The 26,826-nt window shown below is 42.4% G+C and overlaps 1 protein-coding gene across 5 annotated transcripts in view, besides 2 other annotated features; it reads left to right on the forward strand.

The window, feature by feature from the left end:
- The window catches only part of UBE2R2 (ubiquitin conjugating enzyme E2 R2), a 105,232-nt gene that overhangs the window by 9,247 nt on the left and 69,159 nt on the right, over nt 1-26,826 (forward strand). The window lies entirely within an intron of this gene.
- Nucleotides 19,195-19,254: a silencer, noted in NCBI's record as "silent region_19838". NCBI's record gives its function as "represses an Ori minimal core promoter by ATAC-STARR-seq in GM12878 lymphoblastoid cells {active_cell/tissue: GM12878}" and the evidence as "EXISTENCE:reporter gene assay evidence [ECO:0000049][PMID:35858748]".
- Nucleotides 19,295-19,374: a silencer, noted in NCBI's record as "silent region_19839". NCBI's record gives its function as "represses an Ori minimal core promoter by ATAC-STARR-seq in GM12878 lymphoblastoid cells {active_cell/tissue: GM12878}" and the evidence as "EXISTENCE:reporter gene assay evidence [ECO:0000049][PMID:35858748]".

The following is a 26,826-nucleotide window of genomic DNA, read 5'->3' on the forward strand; positions in this document are numbered from 1 at the left end:
TCACGAGGTCAGGAGATGGAGATCATCCTGGCTAACGTGGTGAAACCCCATCTCTACTAAAAAAATACAAAAAAATTAGCCAGGCATGGTGGTAGGCACATGTAGTCCCAGCTACTTGGGAGGCTGAGGCAGGAGAATGGCGTGAACCCGGGAGGCGGAGCTTGCAGTGAACTGATATCGAGGCACTGCTCTCTAGCCTGGGCGAGAGAGCGAGGCTCTGTCTCAAAAAAAAAAAAAAAATTAGCGGGTGTGATGGTCCGCACCTGCAGTCCCAGCTACTTGGGAGGCTGAGGCAGGAGAATTGCTTGAACCCAAGAGGTGGAGGCTGCAGTGAGCCTAGATCATGCCAGTGTACTCCAGCCTGGGCAACAGAGTGAAGCTCTGTCTCAAAAAAAAAAAAAAAAAAAATTCTTGGAATCCATGAAGTCTTGTAATTGCCATCAGCCAAGTGGTACTTATAACCTAGTTGTGAGAGACCATTTCATTGAAATCTTTTGGTAAATTTTTTTTTAAATACCAGTTTCAATGTCATAGATTTGCTAAAATAAGGATTATTTCTTCCTGGATTGAAGGATTTAGGTCCTAATTAATACTCTGCGTTGATTCTCCTTTTTTCACCTTTTGTGTCAGGAAAAATTTTTATTGAGGACTCATTAAAGGAAAAGCAAATTGTAGGAAAAGTCACTTCCTTAAAGATAGTAAGTGAAAGTATTAGGACAATGATAACCTTAGAGCTTTTAAGAATGATCGGCCAGGCGGTCGCCTGTAATCCCAGCACTTTGGGAGGCAAACAACAAAAACAAAAAGAATGATCTTCATAAAAGCAAAGCTTTTTTTTTTTTTTTTTTTGAGACAGAGTCTCTGTTACCCAAGCTGGAGTGCAGTGGTACAATCTTGGCTCACTGCAGCCTCCATCTCCTGGGTCCAAGCAATTCTCCTCCTCAGCTTCCCGAGTAGCTGGGGCTACAGGCGTGTGCCACCATGCCAGACTAATTTTTGTATTTTTAGTAGAGATGGGGTTTCACCATGTTGGTCAGGGTGGTCTCAAACTCCTGACCTCAGGTAATCCACCCACCTCGGCCTCCCAAAGTGCTGGGATTACAGGCATGAGCCACCACACCTGTCCAAAAGCAAAGCTTTTAAAGCTTTAAGGCTAGTTAGACCATTTTTCAACATAATGATAAAATGTTCTGTTCCATCTTTCCAACTTAATGGTCAGTTGGAGACACGTGAGAGAAAGGAGACCATCCAGCAAATTAGGCTACCTCTGATAATCTAGTTATGGAAAAATAACAGTGAGGAAAAGGTATAAATTCAGAGTTTAGGACTACAGATTTCCATCTTGCTTAAAGATTATATTGAAAAGGTTTAATTCTTTTATGTTTCTGAACTTCTTTTGAACTGCTTCACATACGACTACAGAGATATCTGAGTTGGTTGGATGCAGTGGCTCATGCCTGCTCACACCTGTAATCCCAGCACTTTTGGGAGGCGGAGGTGGGCAGATCACTTGAGGTCAGGAGTTCAAGACCAGCATAGCCAATATGGTGAAACCCCATCTCTACTAAAAATACAAAAAGTAGCCGGGTGTGGTGGCATGCGCCTGTAGTCCCAGCTACTTGGGAGGCTGAGGCAGGAGAATCGCTTGAACCCAGGAGGTGCAGGTTTGCGGTGAGCCAAAATCTTGTGCCACTGCACTCCAGCCTGAGCAACAGAATGGGACTCTGTCTCAAAAAAAAAAAAAAAAATCCTACAGAGATTCCTGAGTAAAATTTAACCTCTTTGATTGTGTTAATATCAACTTTATTCAGCAAGAAATTGTTATTCAGAGATTATGCTTATGTACCTCAAAATTAGTTGACTCTGAAGTGAATGGAATGATAGATACTAAGTTGAAGAGGTAAATTTAGTTCACATCACCAAGGTTTGATGTTACTTAAATGATCTTCCACATGATAATTGGAAAATTCAGGTGTTGGAATATGTATTTAAGATGCAAAGTGGCTAGGAGTGGTGGCTCACGCCTGTAACCCCAGCACTTTGGGAGGCCGAGGCAGGCGGATCACGAGGCCAGGAGATTGAGACCATTCTGGCTAACACGGTCAAACCCCGTCTCTACTAAAACTACAAAAAATTAGCAGGGCATGGTGGCACGTGCCTGTAGTTCCAGCTACCCGGGAGGCTGAGGCAGGAGAATGGCTTGAATCCAGAGGCGGAGAGGTTGCAGTGAGCTGAGATCACGCCATTGCACTCCAGTCTGGGCAACAGAGTGAGACTCTGTCCCCTGCCGCCCCCTCCAAAAAAAAAGAAAAGTGAATAGTCCACTTTAAACACCTTTATTTGATTTAGTAACAAATACATATAAAAATGTTTTGGTTATTGGGTGGGTGCAGTGGCTCACGATTATAATTTTTACCCAGCACTTTGGGAGGCAGAGGTGGGCAGATCACCTGAGCTCGGAAGTTCGAGACCAGCCTGGACAGCGTGGTGAAACCCCACATCTACTGAAAATCCAAAAATTAGCCAGGCATGATGTCGTGAACCTGTAGTCCCAGCTATCCGAGAGGCTGAAGCAGGAGAATCTCTTGAACCCAGGCCAATCGCTTGAACCCAGGAAGCGGAGGCTGCAGTGAGCCGAGATCGCGCCACTGCGCTCCAGCCTGGGCGACAGTGAGACTCTGCCTCAAAAAAAAATAAAAAGGTTTTGGTTATTGTCTTATTATTATTATTATTTTTTGACGCTGTTCGAATAAAAAAAAATTAGTCAAGCATGGCAGTTTGTGTCTTTGGTCCCAGCTACTTAGAAGGTTGAGTTGAGGTGGGAGGATCACTTGAGCCTGGGAGGTCGAGGCTTCAGTGAGCCATGAGCATGCCATTGTACTCTAGCTGGGTAACAGAGCAAGACTCAGTCTCAAAAATAAATAAGTTAAATTAAAAATAAATAGGCTGGGCACCGTGGCTCACGCCTGTAATCCCAGCACTTTGGGATGCCAAAGCGGGCGAATCACTTGAGATTAGGAGTTCGGCACCAGCCTGGTCAACATGGCGAAACGCTGTCTCAACTAAAAATACAAAAATTAGCCTGGTGTGGTGGCGCACGCCTGAAATCCCAGCTACTTGGGAGGCTCAGGCAGGAGAATTGTTTGAATGCGGGAGGTGGAATTTGCAGTAAGCTGAGATTGCGCCATTGCACTCCAGCCTGGGCAACAAGAGTGAAATTCCATCTAAAAAAAAAAATTAATTAATTAATAAAATTAAATTAAAAATTAAATCAGGCTCGGCGTGGTGACCCATGCCTGTAATCCCAGCACTTTGGGAGGCTGAGGTGGGCAGATTACGTGAGATCAGGAGTTCAAGACCAGCCTGACCAACATGGTGAAACCCCGTCTCTACTAAAAATACAAAAATTAGCTGGGCATGGTGGCACATGCCTGTAATCTCAGCTACTCAAGAGGCTGAGGCGGGTGAATTGCTTGAACCCGGGAGGCGGAGGTTGCAGTGAGCCCAGATTATGCCACTGCAATCCAGCCTGGGCGACATAGCAAGACTCCCTCTCAAAAAAAAAATAAATACAAATAAAATAAATTAATAAAATTAAAAATTAAATTAGGCTGGGCACAGAGGCTCACTGTAGTCCCAGGACTTTGGGAGGCTGAGGCTGGCGGCTCACCTGAGGTCAGGAGTTCAAGACCAGCCTGACCAACATGGTGAAACCCTATCTCTACTGAAAATACAAAATTAGCTGGTTGTGGTAGCACGCGCCTATAATCCCAGCTACTCGGGAGGCTGAGGCAGAAGAATCGCTTGAACCTGGGAGGTGGAGGTTGCAGTGAGCCGAGATCCCACCATTGCACACCAGCCTGGGCAATAGAGCAAGACTATTTCTCAAAAAAAAAAAAAAAATTAAAATCAAACTTATGGAGTGTTTTACAAGGAACTGTTTTAAAATTTTGATGACTTCAGTTTTTGTCTCTTAAAACTTTTTTTTTTTTTTTTGCAGACAGTCTCACTGTCGTCCACGCTGGAGTGCAGTGGAGTGATCTTGGCTCACTGCAACCTCCGCCTCCTGGGTTCAATCAGTTCTGCTGCCTTAGCCTCCAAGTAGCTGGGACTACAGGCATGTGCCACCACCGGGCTAATTTTTGTTATTTATTTATTTATATTTGAGATCAAGTCTCGCTCTGTTCCCCAGCCTGGAGTGCAGTGGTGCGAGCTCGGCTCACTGCAATCTCCGCCTCCCTGGTTTAAGCAATTCTCCTGGCTCAGCCTCCCGAGTAGCTGGGATTACAGGCATGTGCCACCATGCCCAGCTAATTTTTGTAGTTTTTTTTTTTTTGAGATGGAGTTTTGCTCTTGTTGCCCTGGCTAGAGTGCGATGGCATGATTTTGGCTCACTGCAGCCTCTGCCTCCCGGGTTCAAGTGATTATTCTGTCTCAGCCTCCTGAGTAGCTGGGATTATAGGCGCACGCTGCCATGCCTGGATACTTTTTTGTATTTTCAGTAGAGATGGGGTTTCACCCTGTTGGCCAGACTCGTCTCGAATTCCTGACCTCAGGTGATCTGCCTGCCTCAGCCTCCCAAAGTTCTGGGATTACAAGTGTGAGCCACCATGCCCGGCCTGATTTTTGTATTTTTAGTAGAGACAGGGTTTCACTGTGTTGGCCAGGCTGGGATTGAATTTACCTCAAGTGATCTGCCCACCTTGGCTTCCCACAGTGCTGGGATTATAGTTGTGAGCCACCGCGCCTGGCCTTTTGTCTGTTGAATCCACAGGAAAAAAATGGATCTTTAAAAAATTCTGGACTACTTGAATAAGAGAATGATAAATCATATTTCAGAAAGGCTTTTTATTAGCAAATTGATTTCTTTAATAGCAACTTTAACATTAAGGGGAGGGTGGGAATGGTGCCAATATTGAGAAAAATATAAGTCTAAGAATTTGGTTTTGGAGACATTGGGTACTCAGAAAGGTGGAAGAATGGAGGCAGCTTAAGTGATGAGAGATTACCTAATGGGTACAATGTATACTCTTTGGATGATGGGTACACTGAATGCCTAGACTTCACCTCTATGCAAAACATCCATGTAACAAAACTGCATGGGTACCCGCAAAATCTGTTTTTATAAAAAGTTGATTTTGGGATGAGAAATGATGATATAGTACCTCTGAAAGTGAGAGATGATAGAGAAAGTTAAATTTCTCAATACAATATTGGTTTATGCTTTTAAAATAATAATGCCTTGATATTTTCCAAGTATATTTAAGCATCATAGAGGAAACCTAAGCTTAGGGAAACATTCTTTTCAGTTTCCTCATTTGAGTCTAGTGAGTGCTATTTTTTAACCTCTATTACAGCATCTTTAGATTAGTGCAATCGTTTTTTTTTTTTTTTTTTTTTTAAACAGTTTCGCTCTAGTTGCCCAGACTGGAGTGCAGTGGCACAATCTCGGCTCACCGCAACCTCCGCCTCCTGGGTTTTCAAGTGATTCTCCTGCCTCAGCCTCCCGAGTAGCAAGGACTATAGGCATGTGCCACCACGCCCGGCTAATTTTGTACTTTTAGTAGAGACAGGGTTTCTCCACGTTGGTCAAGCTGGTCTCGAACTCCCGACCTCTGGTGATCCGCCCTCCTCGGCCTCCCAAAGTGCTAGGATTACAGGCGTGAGCCACCGCGCCCAGCCTAATCAGTGCAGTAGTTTTAATTGGTTAATTTATTCTGCATTTGGATTTCCAAGTTTCATAATTTTTTTTTTTTTTTTTGAGACAGAGTCTTGCCCTGTCACCCATGCTGGAGTGCAGTTGCGTGACCTCAGCTCACTGCACCTTCCACCTCTTGGATTCAAACAATTCTCATGCCTCAGCCTCCCGAGTCGCTGGGACTACAGGCGCATGCCACCATGCCCAGCTAATTTTTGTATTTTGGTAGAGACGGGGTTTCACCATGTTGGCCAGGCTGGTCTCGAACTCCTGACCTCATGTGATCTGCCCGCCTCGGCCTCCCAAAGTGCTGGGATTACAGGCATGAGCCACTGCGCCCGGCCTCATAATTCTTTAGATATCTGCTTTGCTGATTGGACGCGTTGGCTCATGCCTGTAATCCCAGCACTTTGGGAGGTCGAGGTGGGCAGATCACCTGAGGTCAGGAGTTCGAGACCAGCCTGACCAACATCGTGAAACCCCCGTCTCTACTGAAAATACAAAAATTAGCCTGTCGTGGTGTTGTGCGCCTCTCATCCCAGCCACTTGGGAGGCTGAGGCAGGAGAATCTCTTGAACCCGGGAGGCAGAGGTTGCAGTGAGCCAAGATCGGCCACTGCAATCCAGCCTGGGGGACACAGCAAGAATCCCTCTCAAAGGAAAAAAAAAAAAAAGAGATATCTGCTTTGCTTATTTGTTGCATGGGCAGCTGGTATTTAATTTGAGGGATAAGTCCCATAAAATAATTCATATTGGCTCATTTAGTAGCAAACATAGTAATTTGGGTTTTAAACATTGAATAATTTCTACCTTGTTGAAATAACTGTGGTTCCATTTATAAGATAATATTAAGAATGAGTAGAGTAGGCTGGTCCGAGTGCAGTGGTATTTACAACCTATTGATCACAACCAGTTACAGATTGCTTAGTTTCTTCTTCATTCCCTCTGTTTCACTGAACTAGCAAAAAAAAAAAAAAAAAAAAAAAGAATAGGTAAAGTTATAAAAACTTGGAAAATATGTAGTAGTTCTTCACAGAAACAGACTGGTGGCTGGGTGTTGTGCCTCACACCTGTAATCCTAGCACTTTGGGAGGTTGAGGCTGGTGGATCTCTTGAGCCCAGGAGTTCAAGACTGGCCGAGCAACGTAGTGAGACCCCCATCTCTACAAAGAAAAAAGAAACAGTGGCTTAAATCTTAAAAAACAGATTTTTAAGTTTACTTGTAATCATACCTGATATATGCAATAAGGCAAAACAAAAGAGTTTTGTTATTCAAAAGAATATTTTCCTTCTTATGACTTAATACTTTTTGTTTGTTTGTTTGAGACAGAGTCTTGCTCTGCCTCCCAGGCTGGAGTGCAGTGGCGCCATCTCGGCTCACTGCAACCTCCACCTCCCAAGTTCAAGCTGTTCTCTTGCCTCAGCCTCTGGAGTAGCTGGGATTATAGGCATGCATCACCACACCTGGCTAATTTTTGTATTTTTAGTAGAGATGGGGTTTCACCATGTTGGCCAGGCAGGTCTCGAACTCTTATTTTATTTATTTTATTTTATTTGTTTGTTTTTGAGACGGAGTCTCACTATGTCGCCCAGGCTGAAGTGCAGAGGCGCGGTCTTGGCTCACTGCAAGTTTCGCTTCCCAGGTTCATGCCATTCTCCTGCCTCAGCCTCCCTAGTAGTTGGGACTATAGGTGCCTGCCAACACGCCCGGTTAATTTTTTGTATTTTTAGTAGAGATGGGGTTTTTCCATGTTGATCAGGCTGGTCTCAAACTCCCGAACTCAGGTGATCTGCCTGCTTCAGCCTCCCAAAGTGCTGGGATTACTGGCGTGTGCCACCGCGCCCGACCTGTGACCCAGGTATTCTTAAGCTTGATTCATTGAATCAACGATAGCAATCACTAATAAATTATTTAGGCCGGGTGCAGTGCCTCATGCCTGTAATCCCAGCACTTTGGGAGGCCGAGGTGGGCGGATCACCTGAGGTTGGGAGTTCGAGACCAGCCTGACCAATATGGAGAAACCCCGTCTCTACTAAAAATACAAAATTAGGCAGGCGTGGTGGTGCGTGCCTGTAATCCCAGCTACTTCAGAGGCTGAGGCAGGAGAATCGCTTGAACCCGGGAAGCAGAGGTTGCAGTGAGCTGAGATTGCGCCATTGCACTCCAGCCTGGGCAACAAGAGCGAAAATCTATCTCAAAAAAAAAAAGAAAAGAAAAGAAATTATTTAATACCCTTTGGTTGAACTTTAATCAAATTTTTTCGGCCGGGCGCTGTGGCTCATGCCTGTAATCCCAGCACTTTGGTAGGCTGAGGTGGGCGGATCACAAGGTCAGGAGATCGAGACCATCCTGGCTAACACGGTGAAACCCCGTCTGTACTAAAAATACAAAAAAATTAGCTGCGCTTCGCGGCCAGCACCTGTAGTTCCAGCTACTTGGGAGGCTGAGGCAGGAGAATGACGTCAACCTGGGAGGCGGAGGTTGCGGTGAGAGCCGAGATTGTGCCACTGCACTCCAGCCTGGGCAACAAGAGTGAGACTCCGTCTAAAAAAAAAAAAAAGAAAGAAAGAAAGAAATTATTTAATACTCTTTGGTTGAACTTTAATTAAATTTTTTCAAGGTTTTTTTTAATGCTCTCAGAATCAAAACTTTAATTAAATTCTATTATAGTTTTAAGTAGTCAGGTTTATGGAGGTATAATTTATACATTAAAATTAATCTTTTTAGTTACATAGTTCTATGAATTTTGATAAATGTATAGTCACATTCAGTTTTTTAAAGAAAAAGATGACCACAGCAGGGCAGTTTTTATACCAAATTTGTCTATGTGAGAAGAAAATGAAGTTACTCTTTTTTCTTAAAATATGAGGAAAATGGCTCTGAGGACTCAGAGTTATTATTTGTGTGGTACAATGAGTCCTCACTAATTTGGATTCTACTAATTTGAAAATTATGAGGTTTTTCTTTTTTGAGAAAGGATTTTGCTGTATTGCCCAGGCTGGAGTGCAGTGGCACGATCTCAGCTCAGTGAAACCTCCGCCTCCTGGGTTCAAGTGATTCTCCTGCCTCAGCCTCCCGAGTAGCTGGGATTACAAACACATGCCACCGTGCCTGGCTAATTTTTTTTTATTTTTAGTACAGACGGGGTTTCACCGTGTTAGCCAGGATGGTCTTGATCTCCTGACCTCGTGATCCGCCTGCCTTGGCCTCCCAAAGTGCTGGCATTACAGGCGTGAGCCACCGCGCCCGACTAATTTTTGTGTTTTTAGCAGAGACGTGGTTTCACCATGTTGGCCAGGTTGGTCCCCTGACCTCAGGTGATCCACCTGCCTCGGCCTCCCAAAGTGCTGGGATTACAGACATGAACCACTGTGCCCGGCTGATATGGTCGTTTCTTGTAAGAGCTTCAGCATTACTTAACAATAAAAAATGTTCTAAGTAATGGAAGATTATATGAAAAGAAGGATTTAAACTCCATCTGTCACTTCTCAGTTACATTTTACGACATAGCATTTTATTTTGATTGTGGTGAATCATATAATTACCATTTTAACCATTTTTAAGAGTACAGTTCAGTGACATTAAGTATATTCACTGTGAAGTGTAACCAGCATCATGACCTATTTTCTAAACTTTTTCTTCATTCCACACTGAAACTTTGAAGCTGTTAAATAGTAACTAATTTTTCCCCCTTGCCTTCATTCTCTGGTAATCTCAATTCTCCTTTCTGTCTTTATGAATTTGTTTATTCTGGGCACCTTGTAGAAGTGGAGTCATAAAATATTTGTCCTTTAGTGTCTGTTTTATTTCACTTAGTATAATTATCTCAAGATTCATCCATGTTGTAGCATGTCTCTGAATTTCATCCCTTTTAATGGCTGAATAACATTCCGTTGTTTGTATAATTCATCTGTTGATGGATGCTTGGGTTGTTCCCACCTTTGGGTTATTGTGAATCATGCCGTTCTCTTTTGGATGCTGTAAATGTTTGGTAGACTCTAGAGTCCCACAGTAGTTACTTTAGACAATTCCTACCAGCTCAGTGGTTGTTTAGGTGTAGTGACGGATTCTTGGAGCTTCTTTTTTTTTTTCTTTTTTTTTTTTTGGAGACAGAGTCTCGCTCTGTTGCCCAGGCTGGAGTGTGATGGCTCAGTCTCGGCTCACTGCAACCTCCGTCTCCCGGGTTCAAGTGACTCTCCTGCCTCAGCCTCCCAAGTAGCTGTAGAGTAGCTGGAATTATAGGCACAAACCACCTCACCCAGCTGATTTTTTGTATTTTTAGTAGAGACGGGTTTCACCGTGTTGGTCAGGCTGGTCTCGCACTCCTGACCTTAGGTGATCTGCCCACCTTGGCCTCCCAAAGTGTTGGGATTACAGGCGTGAGCCACACGCCCAGCCTTCCTGGAGCTCCTTAGTCCACCATCTTCCATGACCTTGTCACGATATTAGCTGTTAAATAGCTACTATTTAATTATATTTATAAAACCTATTCATTATATAAAAATTAGAAAATATAGACCTCGCACGGTGGCTCACACCTGTAATCCCAGCACTTTGGGAGGCTGAAGCAGGTGGATCACCTGAGGTCAGGAGTTCGAGACCAGCCTGGCCAACGTGGAGAAACCCCATCTCTACTAAAAATACAAAATTAGCCGGATGTGGTGACACATGCCTGTAATCCCAGCTACTCGGGAGGCTGAGGCAGGAGAATCCCTTGTTCCCGGGAGGTGGAGGTTGCAGTAAGCCGAGATCGTGCCGTTGCACTCCAGCCTGGGCAACAAGACCGAAACTCTGTCTCAGGAAAAAAAAAAACAAAAGAAAAGAAAAGAAAAGAAAATATTGATAAACAAATAGAAAAAGAGAGAAATTACCCACAATCACATTTCCCAGAGTAATGAGTATTTCCTTTTTGTCCTTCCAGATATGCATGTTGGGAACATATTACATAAACTGGTTTGTAATATGTTTTGAAACTTAATATGAATATGTTTTAGCTATCTTTTCATGAGAGAACATGCATGTCTAAGTGTAGGTTTTTTTTTTTTTTTTTTTTGAGACCCAATCTCTTTCTGTTGCCTAGGCTGGAGTTTAATGGCATGATCTTGGCTCACTGCAACCTCTGTCTCCAGGTTCAAGTGATTCTCTTGTCTCAGCCTCCCGAGTAGTTGGGACTACAGGCACCCACCACCATGCCTGGGTAATTTTTGTATTTTTAGTAGATACAAGGTTTCATCATATTGGTCAGGCTGGTCTTCAGCTGGTGACCTGAGGTGATCCACCTGCCTCAGCCTCCCAAAGTGCTGAGATTATAGGCTTGAGCCACTGAGCCCGGCCTAAGTGTAGTTTTTAAATGCCGTGTAGTGTATATGCTGTACTTCATTTCTATTGCTGGACACTTAAGTTGTTTCAGCCTTTTCCTTAATACAAAAGATGTCGCAGGAAACTTTATATGTCCTTACAATTTTTGTTTGTTTTTGAGACAGAGTTGGCCAGGCACAGTGGCTTACACCTGTAATCTGAGCACTTTGGGAGGCTGAGGTGTGTGGATCACTTGAGCCCACGAGTTCAAGACCAGCCTGGGTGACATAGGGAGATCCCGTTTCTACAAAAAAAAAAACAAAACAGCCAGGCCTGGTGGCACGCACCTGTAGTCCCAACTACTCAGGAGGCTGAGGTGGGAGGATCATTTGAGCCTGGGAATTCAAGGTTACAGTGAGCTATGATTGCACTACTGCACTCCAGCCTGGGCAACGGAGTGAGACCCTTTCTCTAAAAAAGGCTTGTAGAAGAAAGTAAAGATATGAGTTATTTTTGTACAGCTGTATAGTGTGATTTCGTTTTAAGCTAAGAAGCTAAGTGTTGTTTCAAAGGTCAAAAAGTTAAAAGTTTGTATAGTATAAGAATTGTGGGCTGGGCACAGTGGCTCACGCCTGTTATCCCAGCACTTTCGGGAGGGCGAGGCAGATGGATCACCTGAGGTCAGGAGTTTGAGACCAGCCCGGCCAGCATGGTGAAACCCTGTCTCTACTAAAAATATAGAAAAATTAGCTGGGCGTGGTGGGAGGCGCCTATAATCCCAGCTACTCACCTACAATATTCAGTATAGTAACATGCTGTACAGGTTTGAAGCCTAGGAGCAATAGGCTATACCATATAGCCTAGATGTGTAGGAGCCTATACCATCTAGGTACAAGTATACCATTTTTGTGTAAGCATGCTGTATGATGTTCACACAATGATGAAATTGCCTAATGATGCATTTCTCAGAACATATTCCTGTCATTAGGCAACATATGACTGTAATTCAGTGGTTTTTAGTCAGAATTGTGCAATCATCACCACAGTCAATTTTAGAATATTTTGCTGGGCTTGGTGGCTCATGCCTATGATCCCAGTACTTTGGGAGGCAGAGGCACGCAGATCATTTGAGGTCAGGAGTTTGAGAGCATCCTGGCCAACATGGCAAAGCCCCATCTCTACTAAAAATACAAAAAATTAGCCAGACATGGTGGCACATGCCTGTAGTCCCAGCTACTCGGGAGGCAGAGGCAGGAGAATCACTTCAACCTGGGAGGCAGAGGATGCAGTGAGCCAAGATCATGCCACTGTACTCCAGCCTGGGCAACAGAGCAAGACTCTTATCTCAAAAAAAAAAAATATATATATATATATTCTTGAGGAAGTGTGCCTAGCAGGTAAATTTTTTGAAGCTTTATTCTAACTTTATACTTGAAATTACTTGGCTGGGTATAGAATTCTAGATTGGAAATCCTGTAGCTTTAGAATTTCGAGGACATTACTGTATTGGGTTCTTAGTTCCAAAGATGATGTTTGAAATTCAAGAATGTTCTAAATCCTGTGCATGGTATGTGAAGAGTTTTTTCTTCTGGAAGTTTGCAGGACTCTGTGTGTCCCTGATTTCTTAAATTTCACATTGCTGTAGGTACTTTTAAACTCATGTTTTTCAGCATTGGGAAATTTTCTTGAATTATTTCAAGATATTTTCTCCTCTATGTTTTTCCTCATGTTTTTTGGGGAGCACCCATTATCTGGATATAGAACAGTCTGAATTAATTCTTCTAATTAACATATCTTTTTCTCTTTTTTTTCCTTTATTTGTTTTTGAGACAGAATCTTGCTTTGTGGCTTAGGCTGGAGTGCAGGGGTGCGATCAAGGCTCACTGCAGCCTCAGCCTCCTGGGCTCAAGCGATATTCTTATCTCAGCCCCGACCATGCACAGTGCTGTGATTACAGGTATGAGCCACTGTGCCCAGCCTCTTATTTTCAGTTTAGGCAGCTGCTGCTTCTTTTTTTTTTTTTTTTTTGAGACAGGGTCTGCTCTTGCTCTGCTGCCTAAGCTGGAGTGCAGTGGTGCGAACATAGCTTACTGCAACCTCTGCCTCCTGGGCTCAAGAGATTCTCCCACCTCAGCCTCCTAAGTAGCTGAGACTGTAGGCACCTGCTACCACACCCAGCTAATTTTTATATTTTTAGTAGAGATGGGTTTTGCTGTGTTGCCCAGGCTGTTCTTGAACTCCTGAGCTCAATTGATCTACCTGCCTTAGCCTCTCATTGTGCTAGGATTACAGAGCCACCACACCTGGCCTGTTCTTGTTTTTTAATAGAGACAGTGTCTCAATATGTTGCCCAGGCTGGTCTCAAACTCTGGGCTCAAGCATTCCTCCTACAGTGTTAAGATTGCAGGTGTGATCCACTGGGCTTAGCCAACATTCTGTTTTTGATGTCTTGGTTTTGATGTCTTGATCATGGTTGTCGTTTCTCCTATTAACTCCCTGAAGACATCATGTATATACAGATATATAGGTAAATATATATAGCTTATATAGAAGTATACATAGTTTTATGTATGTGTAATTATATGTCTCATATATAAGCCATTATTTACAGTTGTCCTTCAGTATCCATAGGGGGAGTTCCAAGGACCCCCACTGATACCAAAATCTTGAATGGTCAAGTCCCTTATATAAAATGATATAGTATTTACATTTAACCTGTGCACATTCTCCCATATGCTTTATTTTTTTAATTTATTTTTTTGAGATGGAGTTTTGCTCTGTTGCCCAGGCTGGAGTGCAGTGGCAGTCTAGCTGTATTTTTTAGTTTGTATTATTTTTTATTGCTTTTTTTACTGTTTTTTTTTTCTTGTTTTTTTTTCGCTTGAATATTTTTGATCCACTGTTGGTAGAACCCAGGGATATGGAGGGCCTACTGTGTATACGTATATAATGTTTATATATATGTATGTACATATATATATACATTTTTAATACATTTTACTTTTCCTGCATGGACTGTTTTCTTCACGTTGAGTTGTATTTTAAGTGTTTCATGGTAAACTTTCCTGAGATGTTTGCTAATGTTAATCTGCTTAATAGTTTTTTTTTAAATTGAGGTGTATGTACATACAATAAAATGTGTATATCTTGGCTGGGCATGGTGGCTCACGCCTGTGATCCCAGAACTTCGGGAGGCTGAGACAGGTGGATTATGGATTCTTAATTTACTACAGTTTAGTTTATGTTAGTTGGTTTTATTACTTCCCAGGAAATGCAAGAACCGTACATTTAGCTCTTTACCTCCTTCTTGTCCTTTGCCCTATTGATGGTATATTTTCTTATAAACCTCTAAAGCAACAGTATTATTGTTTTACATAGTTGCTGTGGTCTGGCCAGTCGTGGTGGTTCACGCCTGTAATCCCAGCACTTTGGGAGGCCGAGGTGGGTGGATCACCTGAGATGAAGAGTTCGAGACCAGCTGGCCAACATGGAGAAACCTGGTCTATACTAAAAATACAAAAACTAGCCGAGCATGGTGGAGCGCACCTGTAATCCCAGCTACTCGGGAGGATAAGGCAGGAGAATTGCTTGAACCTGGGAGATGGAGGTTGCAGTGAGCTGAGATCGAGGCACTGTACTCCAACCTAGGCAACAGAGCGAGGCACTGTCTCAAAAAAAAAAAAAAAAAGTTGCTGTGGTCTGAATGTGTATCCCCAAAAGACATATGTTGAAACATAATCCCCAATGTGATAGTATAAGGAGGTCTGGCTTTTGGGAGGTGATTACGTCGTGAGGGCTCTGGCTTCATGAATGAAATTAGTGTTTGTGTTTTTGTTTTTGTTTTGAGACGGAGTTTCACTCTTGTTGCCCAGACTGGACTGCAATGGCAGGGTCTCTGCTCACTGCACCCTCTGCCTCCCAGGTTCGAGCAATTCTCCTGCCTCAGCCTCCCAGGTAGCTGAGATAACAGGCTCCTGCCACCACACCTGGCTAATTTTTGTATTTTTAGTAGAGACGGAGTTTCGCCATGATGGCCAGGCTGGTCTCGAACTCCTGACCTCAGGTGATCCACCCGCCTCAGCCTTCCAAAGTGCTGGGAGTACAGGTGTGAGCCACCGTGCTGGGCCTGAGATTAGTGTTCTTATGACAGAGGCCCCAGAGAGCTAGCTAGTCCTTTTCACTACTTGAGAATGCAGCAAGAAGGCATCGTATATGAAGAATGGGCCCTTACTAGACTCCAGATTTGTTGGTGTCTTGGTCTTCCCAGTCTCCAGAACTGTGAGAAATAAATTACTGTTGTTTAAGCTAGGAGTGGTGGCTCATGCCTATAATCCTAGCACTTTGGGAGGCTGAGGTGGGAAGATTGCTTGAGATCAGGAGTTTAAGACCAGCCTGGGCAACATAGCAAGATTCTGTCTCTACAAAAAAATCTAATAAGTTAGCCAAGTGTGGTGGTCTACCTGTAATCTTAGCTACTTGGGAGGCTGAGGTTGGAGGATTGCTTGAGCACAGAAGTTTGAGGCTGCAGTGAGCTATGATTGTGCCATTGTACTCCAATCTGGGTGACAGAGTGAGACCCTGACTCTTAAAAAAAAAAAATTCTGTTGTTTATAAGCCACCCAGTTTATGACTTTTGGTATAGCAGCTTGAATGAACTAAGTAGGTATGTTTTCTAAGTTGCTTTTAATATTTGTATGTAAAATTAGCAGAAAACGTCTCTTTCACAAACATACAGATAGTGCTTTTTCCCCTTTTTCTTTTTTTAAAAAATAAGGCGAATATCCATATCCCCAGTTCAAGAAACAGAACTTTTCAGCCATCCAGGAGCCATCCATGTGTTCCATTTCAGTTGTAACTCACCTCCCAAAAAAGAAAAATAACCACTACTTCACTCTCTCTCAGTCATTTCCTTTTCTTTTATAGTTTTATCACCGTGTACATTCTTAGACATTATATTTTATTTAGTGTTATGATGTCTTTTAAACCACAGTTTATGCCTCTATCCCTTTTTTTTCCTTAGTTTTTATGTTGAAGAACCCAGGGAGAGTTAACCAAAGTTTGAATTTTACTGATTGTACACTCATGTTGCATCTTTCTTCATTCCTTGTATATTTTGCAAATTGGTTACTGAACTCAGAGACTTGGTCAGACTCTGGTTCGGTCTCTTTAGCAATACTGTAGGCAGTGTTGTGTTCTTTCATGGGGAGGCAGAAGTCTGGTTTTCTCTTTTTTTTAAATCATGTCCGCAGTTGTTGGGCTCAGTGCCCAGATCCATTAATTTATCAATGGTTTAAAAATAGTGACATTCTAATTGTGTGGGTTTTTTTAAAATTTTTTGTTGGAATACTTTTATTAAGAGATGCTTCTGCTTACCTGCTGTTCAGTTATCCAGTGGCACAGTTATATAGGAAAGGTAGGATATATACTTGATTCTTTGCCTTTATTTATTCTTTTTTCAAAATAGTGACTTAGTTCCCTATTATTCTCTAAGAGAACCAGCTATTTAATTTAATTTAATTAATTAATTTTTTTGAGATGGAGTTTCACTCTTTCACCCAGGCTGGAGTGAAGTGGGGCCATCGCAACTCACTGCAACCTCTGCCCCCCGGGTTCAAGCAATTCTCCTGCCTCAACCTCTCGAGTAGCTGGAATTATAAGCACCTGCCACCACGCCTGATTTTTTTTTTTTTGAGACGAAGTCTTGCTTTATCCCCCAGGCTGGTGTGCAGTGGTGCGATCTCGGCTCACTGCAACCTCTGCCTCCCGGGTTCAAGCTATTCTGATTCAGCCTCCCGAGTAGCTGGGATTACAGGCGTGTGCCACCATGCCTGGCTAATTTTTGGATTATTAGTAGAGACGGAGTTTCACCATGTTGGCCAGGCTGGTCTCGAACTCCTGACCTCAGGTGTTCCACCTGCCTCGGCCTCCCAAAGTGCTGGGATTACGGGCGTGAGCCACTGCGCCCAGCCTTATGTCTTTGGCCAGTTGGAGCTTCTTCAAGTTGACTCCTGAATGACTTGGTCTACTTCTTGTAGTTTTCGTAGCATCTTTGCTATCTGGTATGACCAGGTGTTGCAGGCTTATCTTTTACAGTTTCTACCCCAGATTTATAACCTATTATTTCTTCAACAAGCCCTGGTTTTAGTGGCAGAGGTATTTAGGGCGCCTAATATGGACCTTAGAGATTATTGCTGCTGTGAGTTGTCATTGTTTCTAGGACAGAGTTATGGGTGATATATATGTATATGTGTATATCTGTACACATGCTTTTTTATAAAACTTAACCACTTCTGTATTATAATACATCGGTGTATATTTTTCCATGTTAAAAATTCTGGTTCTCAAGGATAGGGAATAATGAACTAGAATATCCTCATTATTAATTACTCGCTTGTTTTCTCGTATATTACACAGTAGTCTCAGAATAGCAATACTAATAATACCATAACCAATGTGATTGCTGAGAATAGTTGCATAAATTGTTTCATGTATGCTGTCCTCATCACCCCCCGACATCATCATATCTGTATTATATCTATCTTGTCAGATTATTCATTACATGCAATATTCTCTTTCAACCTTAATTTGTTTTTATTCTGTAAGTAATTATATAGTTCAGTGGCTGGCATTCTTTTTCTGTAAAAGGCCAGGTAGCAGATGTTTTAATTTTTGCAGGCCCGGAGGCAAAATTAAAGATACTATATTTAGGGTGGGCAAAGTGGCTCATACTTGTAATCCCAGCACTTTGGAAGGCCGAGGTCAGAGGATCACTTGAGCCCAGGAATTCTCCACCAGCCTGAGTGACATAGTGAGACCTTGTTTCCACAAAAATAAAAAAAAATTAGCTGGGCATGGTGGTGCACACCTGTAGTCCCAGATACGCGGAAGGCTGAGGTAGGAGGATCACCTGAGCCTGGGAGGTTGCGGCTGCAGTGAGCCTTATGGCACTGCACTCCAGCCTGGGGTGACAGATTTATATTACAAGAGAGAAGATAAATTTCCACCAATTTGTATTGACAAAATTCAAATAAAAATAATTGAAATTTTTTTTTTGGTAATGCAGGTCTCATTAAGAATTGAATTAATTTTGGAGGGATGGATAATTGCATCACTTAATAAGGTTATTGTTTTCATTAAAATGGATTGCTCATGTTGATCTCGAATGAGATTTCCTCTTTGAAAATGTCTTCATACAGATTGGTACTGCTAAATGCAGATACTAGTACATGGGCATATGATTTTCATTGTGATATTTATTGCTTGGGAGGGAGTATATAGAATTCTGTTAGATTCTTCTCTTGATATTTGCTTTTTAGCATGCCATTGTAGTGTAGATTAATCACTTCCAATTAAAGAGTACGTGGAAGCGCTACAATTGCACAGTTAACTGGATTTTGATGTATATAAATTTCCTTTTGTACTTGGCTGAAGGTCTGAAAAACACTGCTGAAGCTGCAATTTGAGCTCAGGAAATATATTCTAGCCACATGCCATGACACATGCCTGTAGTTCCAGCTACTTGGAAGGCTGAGGTGGGAGGATGGCTTGAGCCCAGGCTGTGATCGTGCTACTGCATGGCAGCCTGAGTGACAGTTGTGAGACCGTGTTTACAAAAAAAAAAAAACAGACCACTTTTTTTTTTTTTTTTTTTTTTTAAGACAGAGTCTTGCTCTGTCGCCCAGGCTGGAGTGCAGTGGCACGATCTTGGCTCACTGCAACCTCCACCTCCTGGGGGTGAAGCGATTCTTCTGCCTCAGCCTCCCAAATAGCTGGGATTACAGACATGCGCCATCCCGCCCAGCTAATTTTTGTATTTTTAGTAGAGATGGGGTTTCACCATGTTGGCCAGGCTGGTCTCGAACTCCTAACCTCAGGTGGTTTGCCCACCTTGGGCTTGCAAAGTGCTGGGATTACAGGTGTGAGCCACCATGCCCAGGCAAGCAGACCTCTTTTTAAAAAAAAAATCACTCAACTTACTTCATTAGTAGTAATGCAGCAAGTAGAAAAAAAGGAAAATACATTCATAGCAAATTTGTCTGGAAATGGAGGTTTTACTTCTTGTTTTAACTTTTTTGTTTTTTTTTTTGAGATGGAGTCTGGCTATGTCTCCCAGGCTAGAGGGAAGTGGCATGATCTCAGCTCACTGCAACCTCTGCCTCCTGGGTTTGAGCGATCCTCCTGCCTCAGCCCCCCTAGTAGCTGGGATTATAGGCTCGCGCCACCACACCTGGCTAATTTTAGTATTTTTGGTAGAGATGGGGTTTCACCATGTTGTCCAGGCTGATCTTGAACTCCTGACCTCAAATGATCTGCCTTGGCCTCTCAGAGTGCTGGGATTACAGGCGTGAGCCACTGCGCCCAGCCTACTTCTTGTTTTAACTTTTGTTTAAGACAGGAAGTTTATAGAGATGTTTGACATTACTTATAATTCAGACAACCTTTGTTTTCATCCAAATATTTTGGGTTTTACCACTGCATAAGTTTTGTACATAAGTGCTATTTGTCATATAATTTTAGTTTAAAAATCTATTAAGAGGTATTATCAACCTTGCAGTAAAAAAGCTGATTTCCAAGGCCATTTAGTATTCTATAATGATAGTTGAGGTTACTTCTTCAGAAAAATTTGTCTTGATCCCAAGCTCAAAAAATTGCAGTTAAAACATCACTGCCATCAGTACCTGCTGATGAATAATACAGTGAGTAACCATAAGCTTGAAACACTTTATTACATTTTATATTTTCATAAGTTTTATTAATTTGTCCAATTAATAAGCCTTTTTCTGTTCCACACACACATATATATAAGTATTTTTGAGAGAGTTTCACTCTTGTCGCCCAGGCTGGAGTGCAGTGGCGCGATCTCCGCTGACTGCAACCTTCGCCTCCCGGGTTCAAGCGATTCTTCTGCCTCAGCCTCCCCAGTAGCTGGGATTACAGGTGTGCGCCACCATGCCCAGCTGATTTTGTATTTTCAGTAGAGACAGGTCTTCACCATGTTGGTCAGGCTGGTCTCGAACTCCTGACTTCAGATGATCCGCCCGACTCAGCCTCCCAAAGTGCTGGGATTACAGGCGTGAGCCACCACGCCTAGCTGTCCCACATCTATTTTTTTTTTTTTTTTTTTTTTTTACCATCAGTTGTAATGTTTCTTTAGCAGATTCCATTTAAGGTTGAACTGAATTAGTGTTTATTCAAGTTTGAAAATATTCTTGGTGGTGTTGTTCCAAACATTCATTAGAGAGGCTAATTATTCAGTCACTTCGAAGTCTGTATTGACTGCTCAAATAAACAACTGAGCTGTATCAGTAACATATGTTGAGTCCTCTAGAGCCAAGGAAAACCACTCAAAATCATTTGCCTTTTTTTTTCTTTTTCTGAGACAGTCTTGCTCTGTGGCCCAGGCTGGAGTGTAGTGGTGTGATCTTGGCTCACTGCAACTTCCACCTCCCGGGTTCAAGCGATTCTCTTGCCTCACCCTCCGGAGTAGCTGGGATTACAGGCGTGTGCCACCACGCCTGGATAATTTTTTTGTATTGTTAGTAGAGACGGGGTTTCACCATGTTGGTCAGGCTGGTCTTGAACTCCTGACCTCAAATGATCCGCCTGCCTCGACCTTCCAAAGTGCTGAGATTATAGGTGTGAGCCACCAAGCCCTGCCTTCATTGCCTTGGTTTTTAATCAACTGTTGATGTTGCTTACAGTATCCTCAGCTTGCTGAGCAACTGTTCTCACCAAAAAGCTAATAATCTTATTTCCTCTGGACACATTCCTTTTTTTCTTTTTTGTTTTTGAGACGGAGTTTCACTCTTGTTGCCCAGGCTGGAGTGCAGTGGCACAATCTTTTTTTTTTTTTTTAGACGGAGTCTTGCTCTGTCACCCAGGCTGGAGTTCAGTGGCACGATCTTGGCTCACTGCAAGCTCCGCCTCCCGGGTTCACGCCATTCTCCTGCCTCAGCCTCCCGAGTAGCTGTGACTACAGGCGCCCGCCACCACACCCGGCTCATTTTTTCTATTTTTTTAGTAGAGACGGGGTTTCACTGTGTTAGCCAGAATGATCTTGATCTCCTGACCTCGTGATCTGCCCACCTCGGCCTCCCAAAGTGCTGGGATTATAGGCGTGAGCCACCGCACCCAGCTTGGCCTGGATACATTTCTTTGACTGGTATAATCAAACATGATTTAATGAACTAATCATTAGTAAGTGGTTCTTGATAGGCTAACAAATGAGCCATCCACCTAATTTAGTTGCTGTTTTATTTTCATTATTTTATGAAGAAATTCTACTGTGATAAGATACTTCATTTAGAATTTTCTAGGCCGGGTACAGTAGCTCACGCCTGTAATCCCAGCACTTTGGGAGGCTGAGTCGGGCAGATCATCTGAGGTCAGGAGTTCGAGACCAGCCTGGCCAACATGGCGAAACTCTGTCTCTACTAAAAATACAAAAATTGGCTGGGCGCGGTGGCTCACGCCTGTAATTCCAGCACTTTGGGAGGCCGAGGTGGGCGGATCACGAGGTCAGGAGATCAAGACCATGGTGAAACCCCGTCTCTACTGAAAATACAAAAAATTAGGCAAGGTGGCGGGTACCTGTAGTTCCAGCTACTCGGGAGGCTGAGGCAGGAAAATGGCGTGAACTCGGGAGGTGGAGCTTGCGGTGAGCCAAGATCACGCCACTGCCCTCCAGCCTGGGTGACAGCAAGACTCCGTCTCAAAAAAAAAAAAAAATACAAAAATTAGCCAGGTGTGGTGGCACGAGCCTGTAATCCCAACTTCTTGGGAGGCTCAGGCAGGGGAATCACTTGAACCCAGGAAGCAGAGGTTGCTCTGAGCCAAGATTGCACCACTGCACTCTAGCCTAGGTAACAGCGAAACTCCATCTCAAAAATAAAATAAAATATTCTAATTTTTTGCTACTATTTTCCCGTGAGTTAGGTACTGTTGTGTGATGAGTGTAATTTGGTAATGTCTATGAATAGTGTATTTTTTTTAGGATAGTTACATTGTCATTGCATAATAAAGACAATGCTTTGTCATCTAATTTGACAAAACATTCCTTGCGCCTAAAAGTATGACATTTCAAGTCCACTTTTCTCTCTCTCTCTCTTTTTTGGTTTTAATATGATGGGTTAAGCAATGACAATAAAAAATAAAATATCCCAGTACAGCATTATGTGTGGCTCTCAAAACGTTGTCAAATATAGCTACTATATCACTGTAATTTTGTAGTATATCATGCAGCAGTGTGAAGTGATGAGAACACCACATATGGTCTCTTGCAACTGCTAAACTCTGCCATTGTAGCATTAAAGCAGCCACAGATAAGTTATAAATGAATGAGTATGGTTGTTTTCCAATAAAACTTTATTTATTGAGTTTTATATAGTTTTTATGTGTCACAAATATTATTCTTTTGATTTTAACCACATATTTTCCTTAACAGTGTTTCTCATTTCTTCCTGAAGTGGTACTTTTATCTGAGAGATTTTCCTTCAGCTTAGTGAACTTTTAATAATTTTTATAGTGCAGATCTGCTGTCAACAACCCGTCTCAGTTTTTATTTGCCTGAAAACATCTTTATTTTGCTTTTTTTTTTTTTGAAGGTTTTTTTTTTTCTGGATATAAAATTATAGGCTGGGTTTTTTTCCCCCTTTCAGTACTATGAAGTTTTCATTTTATTGTTTTCTGGCTTTATTTATTTATTTGAGACAGAGTATCACTCTGTTGCCCAGTCTGAAGTGCAGTGGCATGATCTTGGCTCACTGCAACCCCTGCCACCCGAATTCAGGCGATTTTCCTTCTCTGCCTCCCGAGTAGCTGGGATTACAGGCATGCGCCACCATGCCCGGCTAATTTTTGTATTTTTAGTGGAGGTGGGGTTTCAGCATGTTGGCCAGGCTGGTCTTGAACTCTGGCCTCAAGTGATCTCCTGCTTCAGCCTCCCAAAGTGCTGGGATTAGAGGCGTGTGCCACTGCGCCCGGCCCTGGCTTGCTTAATTTCTTTTAGTAATGCTATTATTGCTGCATTTAAAGTAATGTCTTTTTTCTTTTGGCTGCTTTTAATATTTACTCTTTGTGTTTGTTTTCAACAGTTAAACTTTGATGTGCATGGGTGTGGTTTTCTTTCCTGCCTTTGGTTCACTGAGCTTCTTTATCTTTCATTAGTTTTAGAAAATTCATAGCCATTATCTTTTCAAATATTGCTGCTTCATTCTCTCTCTCTTCTTCATTAACCTACGTATAGTAGAATTTTTGACTATGTTCTGTGTGTCTCCAACACTGTGTTCTGTCCTTTTTGCCCTTGTTTTCTGTGCTTCAGTTTGGATTTGACCTGAAATTTTTTTTTTTTTTTTTTTTTTGAGACGGAGTTTTGCTCTTGTTGCCCAGGCTGGAGTGCAATGACGTGATCTTGGCTCACTGCAACTCTGCCTCCTGTGTTTAATCCATTCTGCTACTGCAGCCTCCCAAGTAGCTGGGATTACAGGCATGTGCCACCACACTCGGCTAGTTTTTTTTGTATTTTTAGTAGAGACAGGGTTTCACCATGTTGGTCAGGCTGTTCTCAAACTCCTGACCTCAGGTGATCCACCCGCCTCTGACTCCCAAAGTGCTGGGATTACATGCAGGAGCCACTGCGCCTGGCCTGTTGACCTGAATTTAAGTTAACTAATTCTGTTTTATACTGTCTATCCAATGAGTTACAGATTCTAGGTACTGTATTTCAGGTTTAAATTTTTAAAATAGTTTCCAGTATTCTGTTAAAATTCATTCCAAAAAGTCATTTCATAAATTCATTTTGTGCAATTTTTTCTTCTATTTTCTTTTAATATACTAATCATAGTCATTTTAAAGTCCACGTTTGCCAGCTCCAATATCTGAATCATCTGTGGATTTGTTTCTGTACTTTTTTCTCCTCTTATCAGTCATTCTCCCTCTTTCCATACTTCTTAATTTTTTAAATTGTATACAGACTTTGCATACAAAATAATCCTGGAGACTAAGATGATATCTTTCTCCCTCTTTCCTTTGCTAGGTAGATAGGATGTGGGGCTGTTCACCTCAAATCAGTCAAGGATTGATTTAGGTTGGGGCTGGGTTACAGTTTTCAAAAGACTTAGTATATCACCTCAGTTTCAAAAGACTACAGAAGATTGAATTCTGTCCTCTAGCTCTGACACCATACAGCTATAAAATCTTTTTTTTTTTTTTAAATGGAGTCTTGCTGTTGTAGCCTGGGCTGGAGTGCAATGGCGTGATCTCGGCTCGCTGCAACCTCTGCCTCCCAGGTTCTAGCAATTCTCCTGCCTTAGCCTCCCGAATAGCTGAGGTTGTTATAGGTGCCTGCCACCACGCCTGGCAGATTTTTGTATTTTTAGTAGAGACAGGTTTCACCAGGTTGACCAGGCTGGTCTCGAGCTCTTGACCTCAGGTGATCCAACCACCTTGGCCTCCCAAAGTGCTGGGATTACATGCATGAGCTACCACACCCGCCGAGTCTAATCTTAAAATGAGAAAGTTGTTTAATTTATCAGAGAACTACAAAGATAATAATAACTCCTGTTTAGGCCGGGTGCCGTGGCTCACGCCTGTAATCCCAGTACTTTGGGAGGCCAAGGAGGGCGGATCACCTGAGGTTGGGAGTTCGAGACCAGCCTGACCAACATGGAGAAACCTTGTTTCTACCAAAAATACAAAAATTAGCCGGGCGTGGTGGCACATGCCTGTAATCCCAGCTACTCGGGAGGCTGAGACAGGAGAATCTCTTGAACCTGGGAGGCGGAGGTTGCGGTGAGCCGAGATCTCGCCATTGCACTCCAGCCTGGGCAACAAGAGCAAAACTTCGTCTCAAAAAAATAAATAAATAAACTCCTGTTTATTGAGTGATTAATATGTGCACTGCTCTGTGCTGAGTAGGGAAATATCCTTATCTTTTTGTGTGTGTAGGTGTGTATATACACAAACATATATATGTATACCGAATATTTAAAGAAATATCTGTTATATATAGGTATATATAAAGAGATATGTAAGTAATATCAAACAACCATTAGTTACTTAGCTGTGTGACCCTGTGTAAGTTTCTTAAATTCTTTGTATTCATTTTCCTTATTTGTAATACAGGTTTGTTGATAATAACTGCCTCATAGGGTTGTTTTAAGAATCAAGAGTATGGATGGACGCCTGTAATCCCAGCACTTTGGGAGGCTGAGGCAGGCAGGGTGCTTGAGCTCAGGAGTTCAAGACCAGCCTGGACAACATGGTGAAACCTCATCTCTACTTAAAAAAAAAAAAAAAAAGTCAGGCGGTGTGGTGGCATGTGCTGCTAGTTCCAGCTGCCTAGGAGGCTGACATGGGAGGGTGACTTGAGCCCAAGAGGTGGAGGTTGCAGTGAGCCAAGCCAAGATCTTACTACTGCGCTCCAGCCTGGGCAACAGAACCAGACCCCCTCTTTGTATTTCTTACACCAACCCAATGAGACAAGTACCACTGACCCAATTCTATATGTATAGGAAACTAAGGTTCACAGGGAGTTGTCCAAGGTTTCAGTGATTAGTTTACATTCCTGGTTCTGCAGCCTATACAAGTTTGTCTGCCTATATCTATATTTTTTCCTGCCTCCAAAGCAGGTGACACTTGGATATTTACACAGAAATTTGTCAGGCAGTTGTTTGGTAAGAGGACCAGAGAAACGCACTGGGCTGGAGTCTGTGACAGAGTACAGCCTTGAGAGAAGTACGTGGGGCATGGCAAGCAGAAACTAAATATGCTATCAGAACAAGAATTTTGGAATTAGAGCACACAGTGGTATTCAGCTTGGCGTCCAGTAATTAGACCATTAAGGATTGGATTGAGGCTGAGGATCTAGAGCTCTAAAAATCAAGTCAGAATTTCTCTTAGGAGTTAGGGATGCCCAGATTCTGTGGATGTGTTTAAAGTGGCAGCAACTGCAAAGAGGATCGCTGCAGAGACTGGGCGTGAGGCTGCCATTAGTTGCTTCATTTCTCAGTCACCTGTAACCATTCTTCATTCCATGATACTAGATCTACTATTCCCTGATAAATCAGCTGAACAGACGAGCCTACCAAACTCATGGTTTGATGCCCTCTGCAATACCAAGTTTCATCTGTGTCCTTATGGCTGATAACTGACTTGCATATCTAGCTTCCCGACTTCTGGCTTAATCTTAACCTCTTAAATTTGCCTGCCCCTACAAATCCTGCCAATCGGGATTCCTTTTTGCCTTCATATTACTGATTTCAAACTTGTTTTGTTCCTTTTTTACATTTAATTGTTTATTTATAAAAATAGTTCACATATATAGTTTTAAGAGTAACATGTGGTGTAAGACTTACAATAAGGAACAATCAGTTCCCTACTCTTCCCCATTATTCACTAGCAACCCCTTTCAGCTCTTATAAAAATGGAGAGAAAGTGAGTCTTTTGTTTACTTCCTATGGTTACCTCCAGCATAAAGCCACACTTCAGGTGAGCCCTGCCCCCAGATGCAGTCACTTAGGCCAATATTTACTTAAACCAAATTTTTTGGTTATTGTTCTAGAGTTCAGTTCATAATCATACTTCTCATTAATACTTCTTAAACATTTTGGCCTTCCAGGCCTTTTCTTGCTTGTTGGTATGCATATGTGTATTAATTTCTTTTTACTTCCATTCCCACTTCTATTCCCCTCTGAATCCTTAGGCAAACATTGTAGTATGTTTGTTCGTATCCTTTGGTAGGCACTCTTTTTAAAAACAATTAAAATAAAAATTTTTAAACAACCACAAACTTACAAATTCAAAGAACTATTTTCCTGAACCATTTGAGGGTG

Source organism: Homo sapiens, chromosome 9 (genome assembly GCF_000001405.40).
Source record: "Homo sapiens chromosome 9, GRCh38.p14 Primary Assembly".
Lineage (NCBI taxonomy): Eukaryota > Metazoa > Chordata > Mammalia > Primates > Hominidae > Homo > Homo sapiens.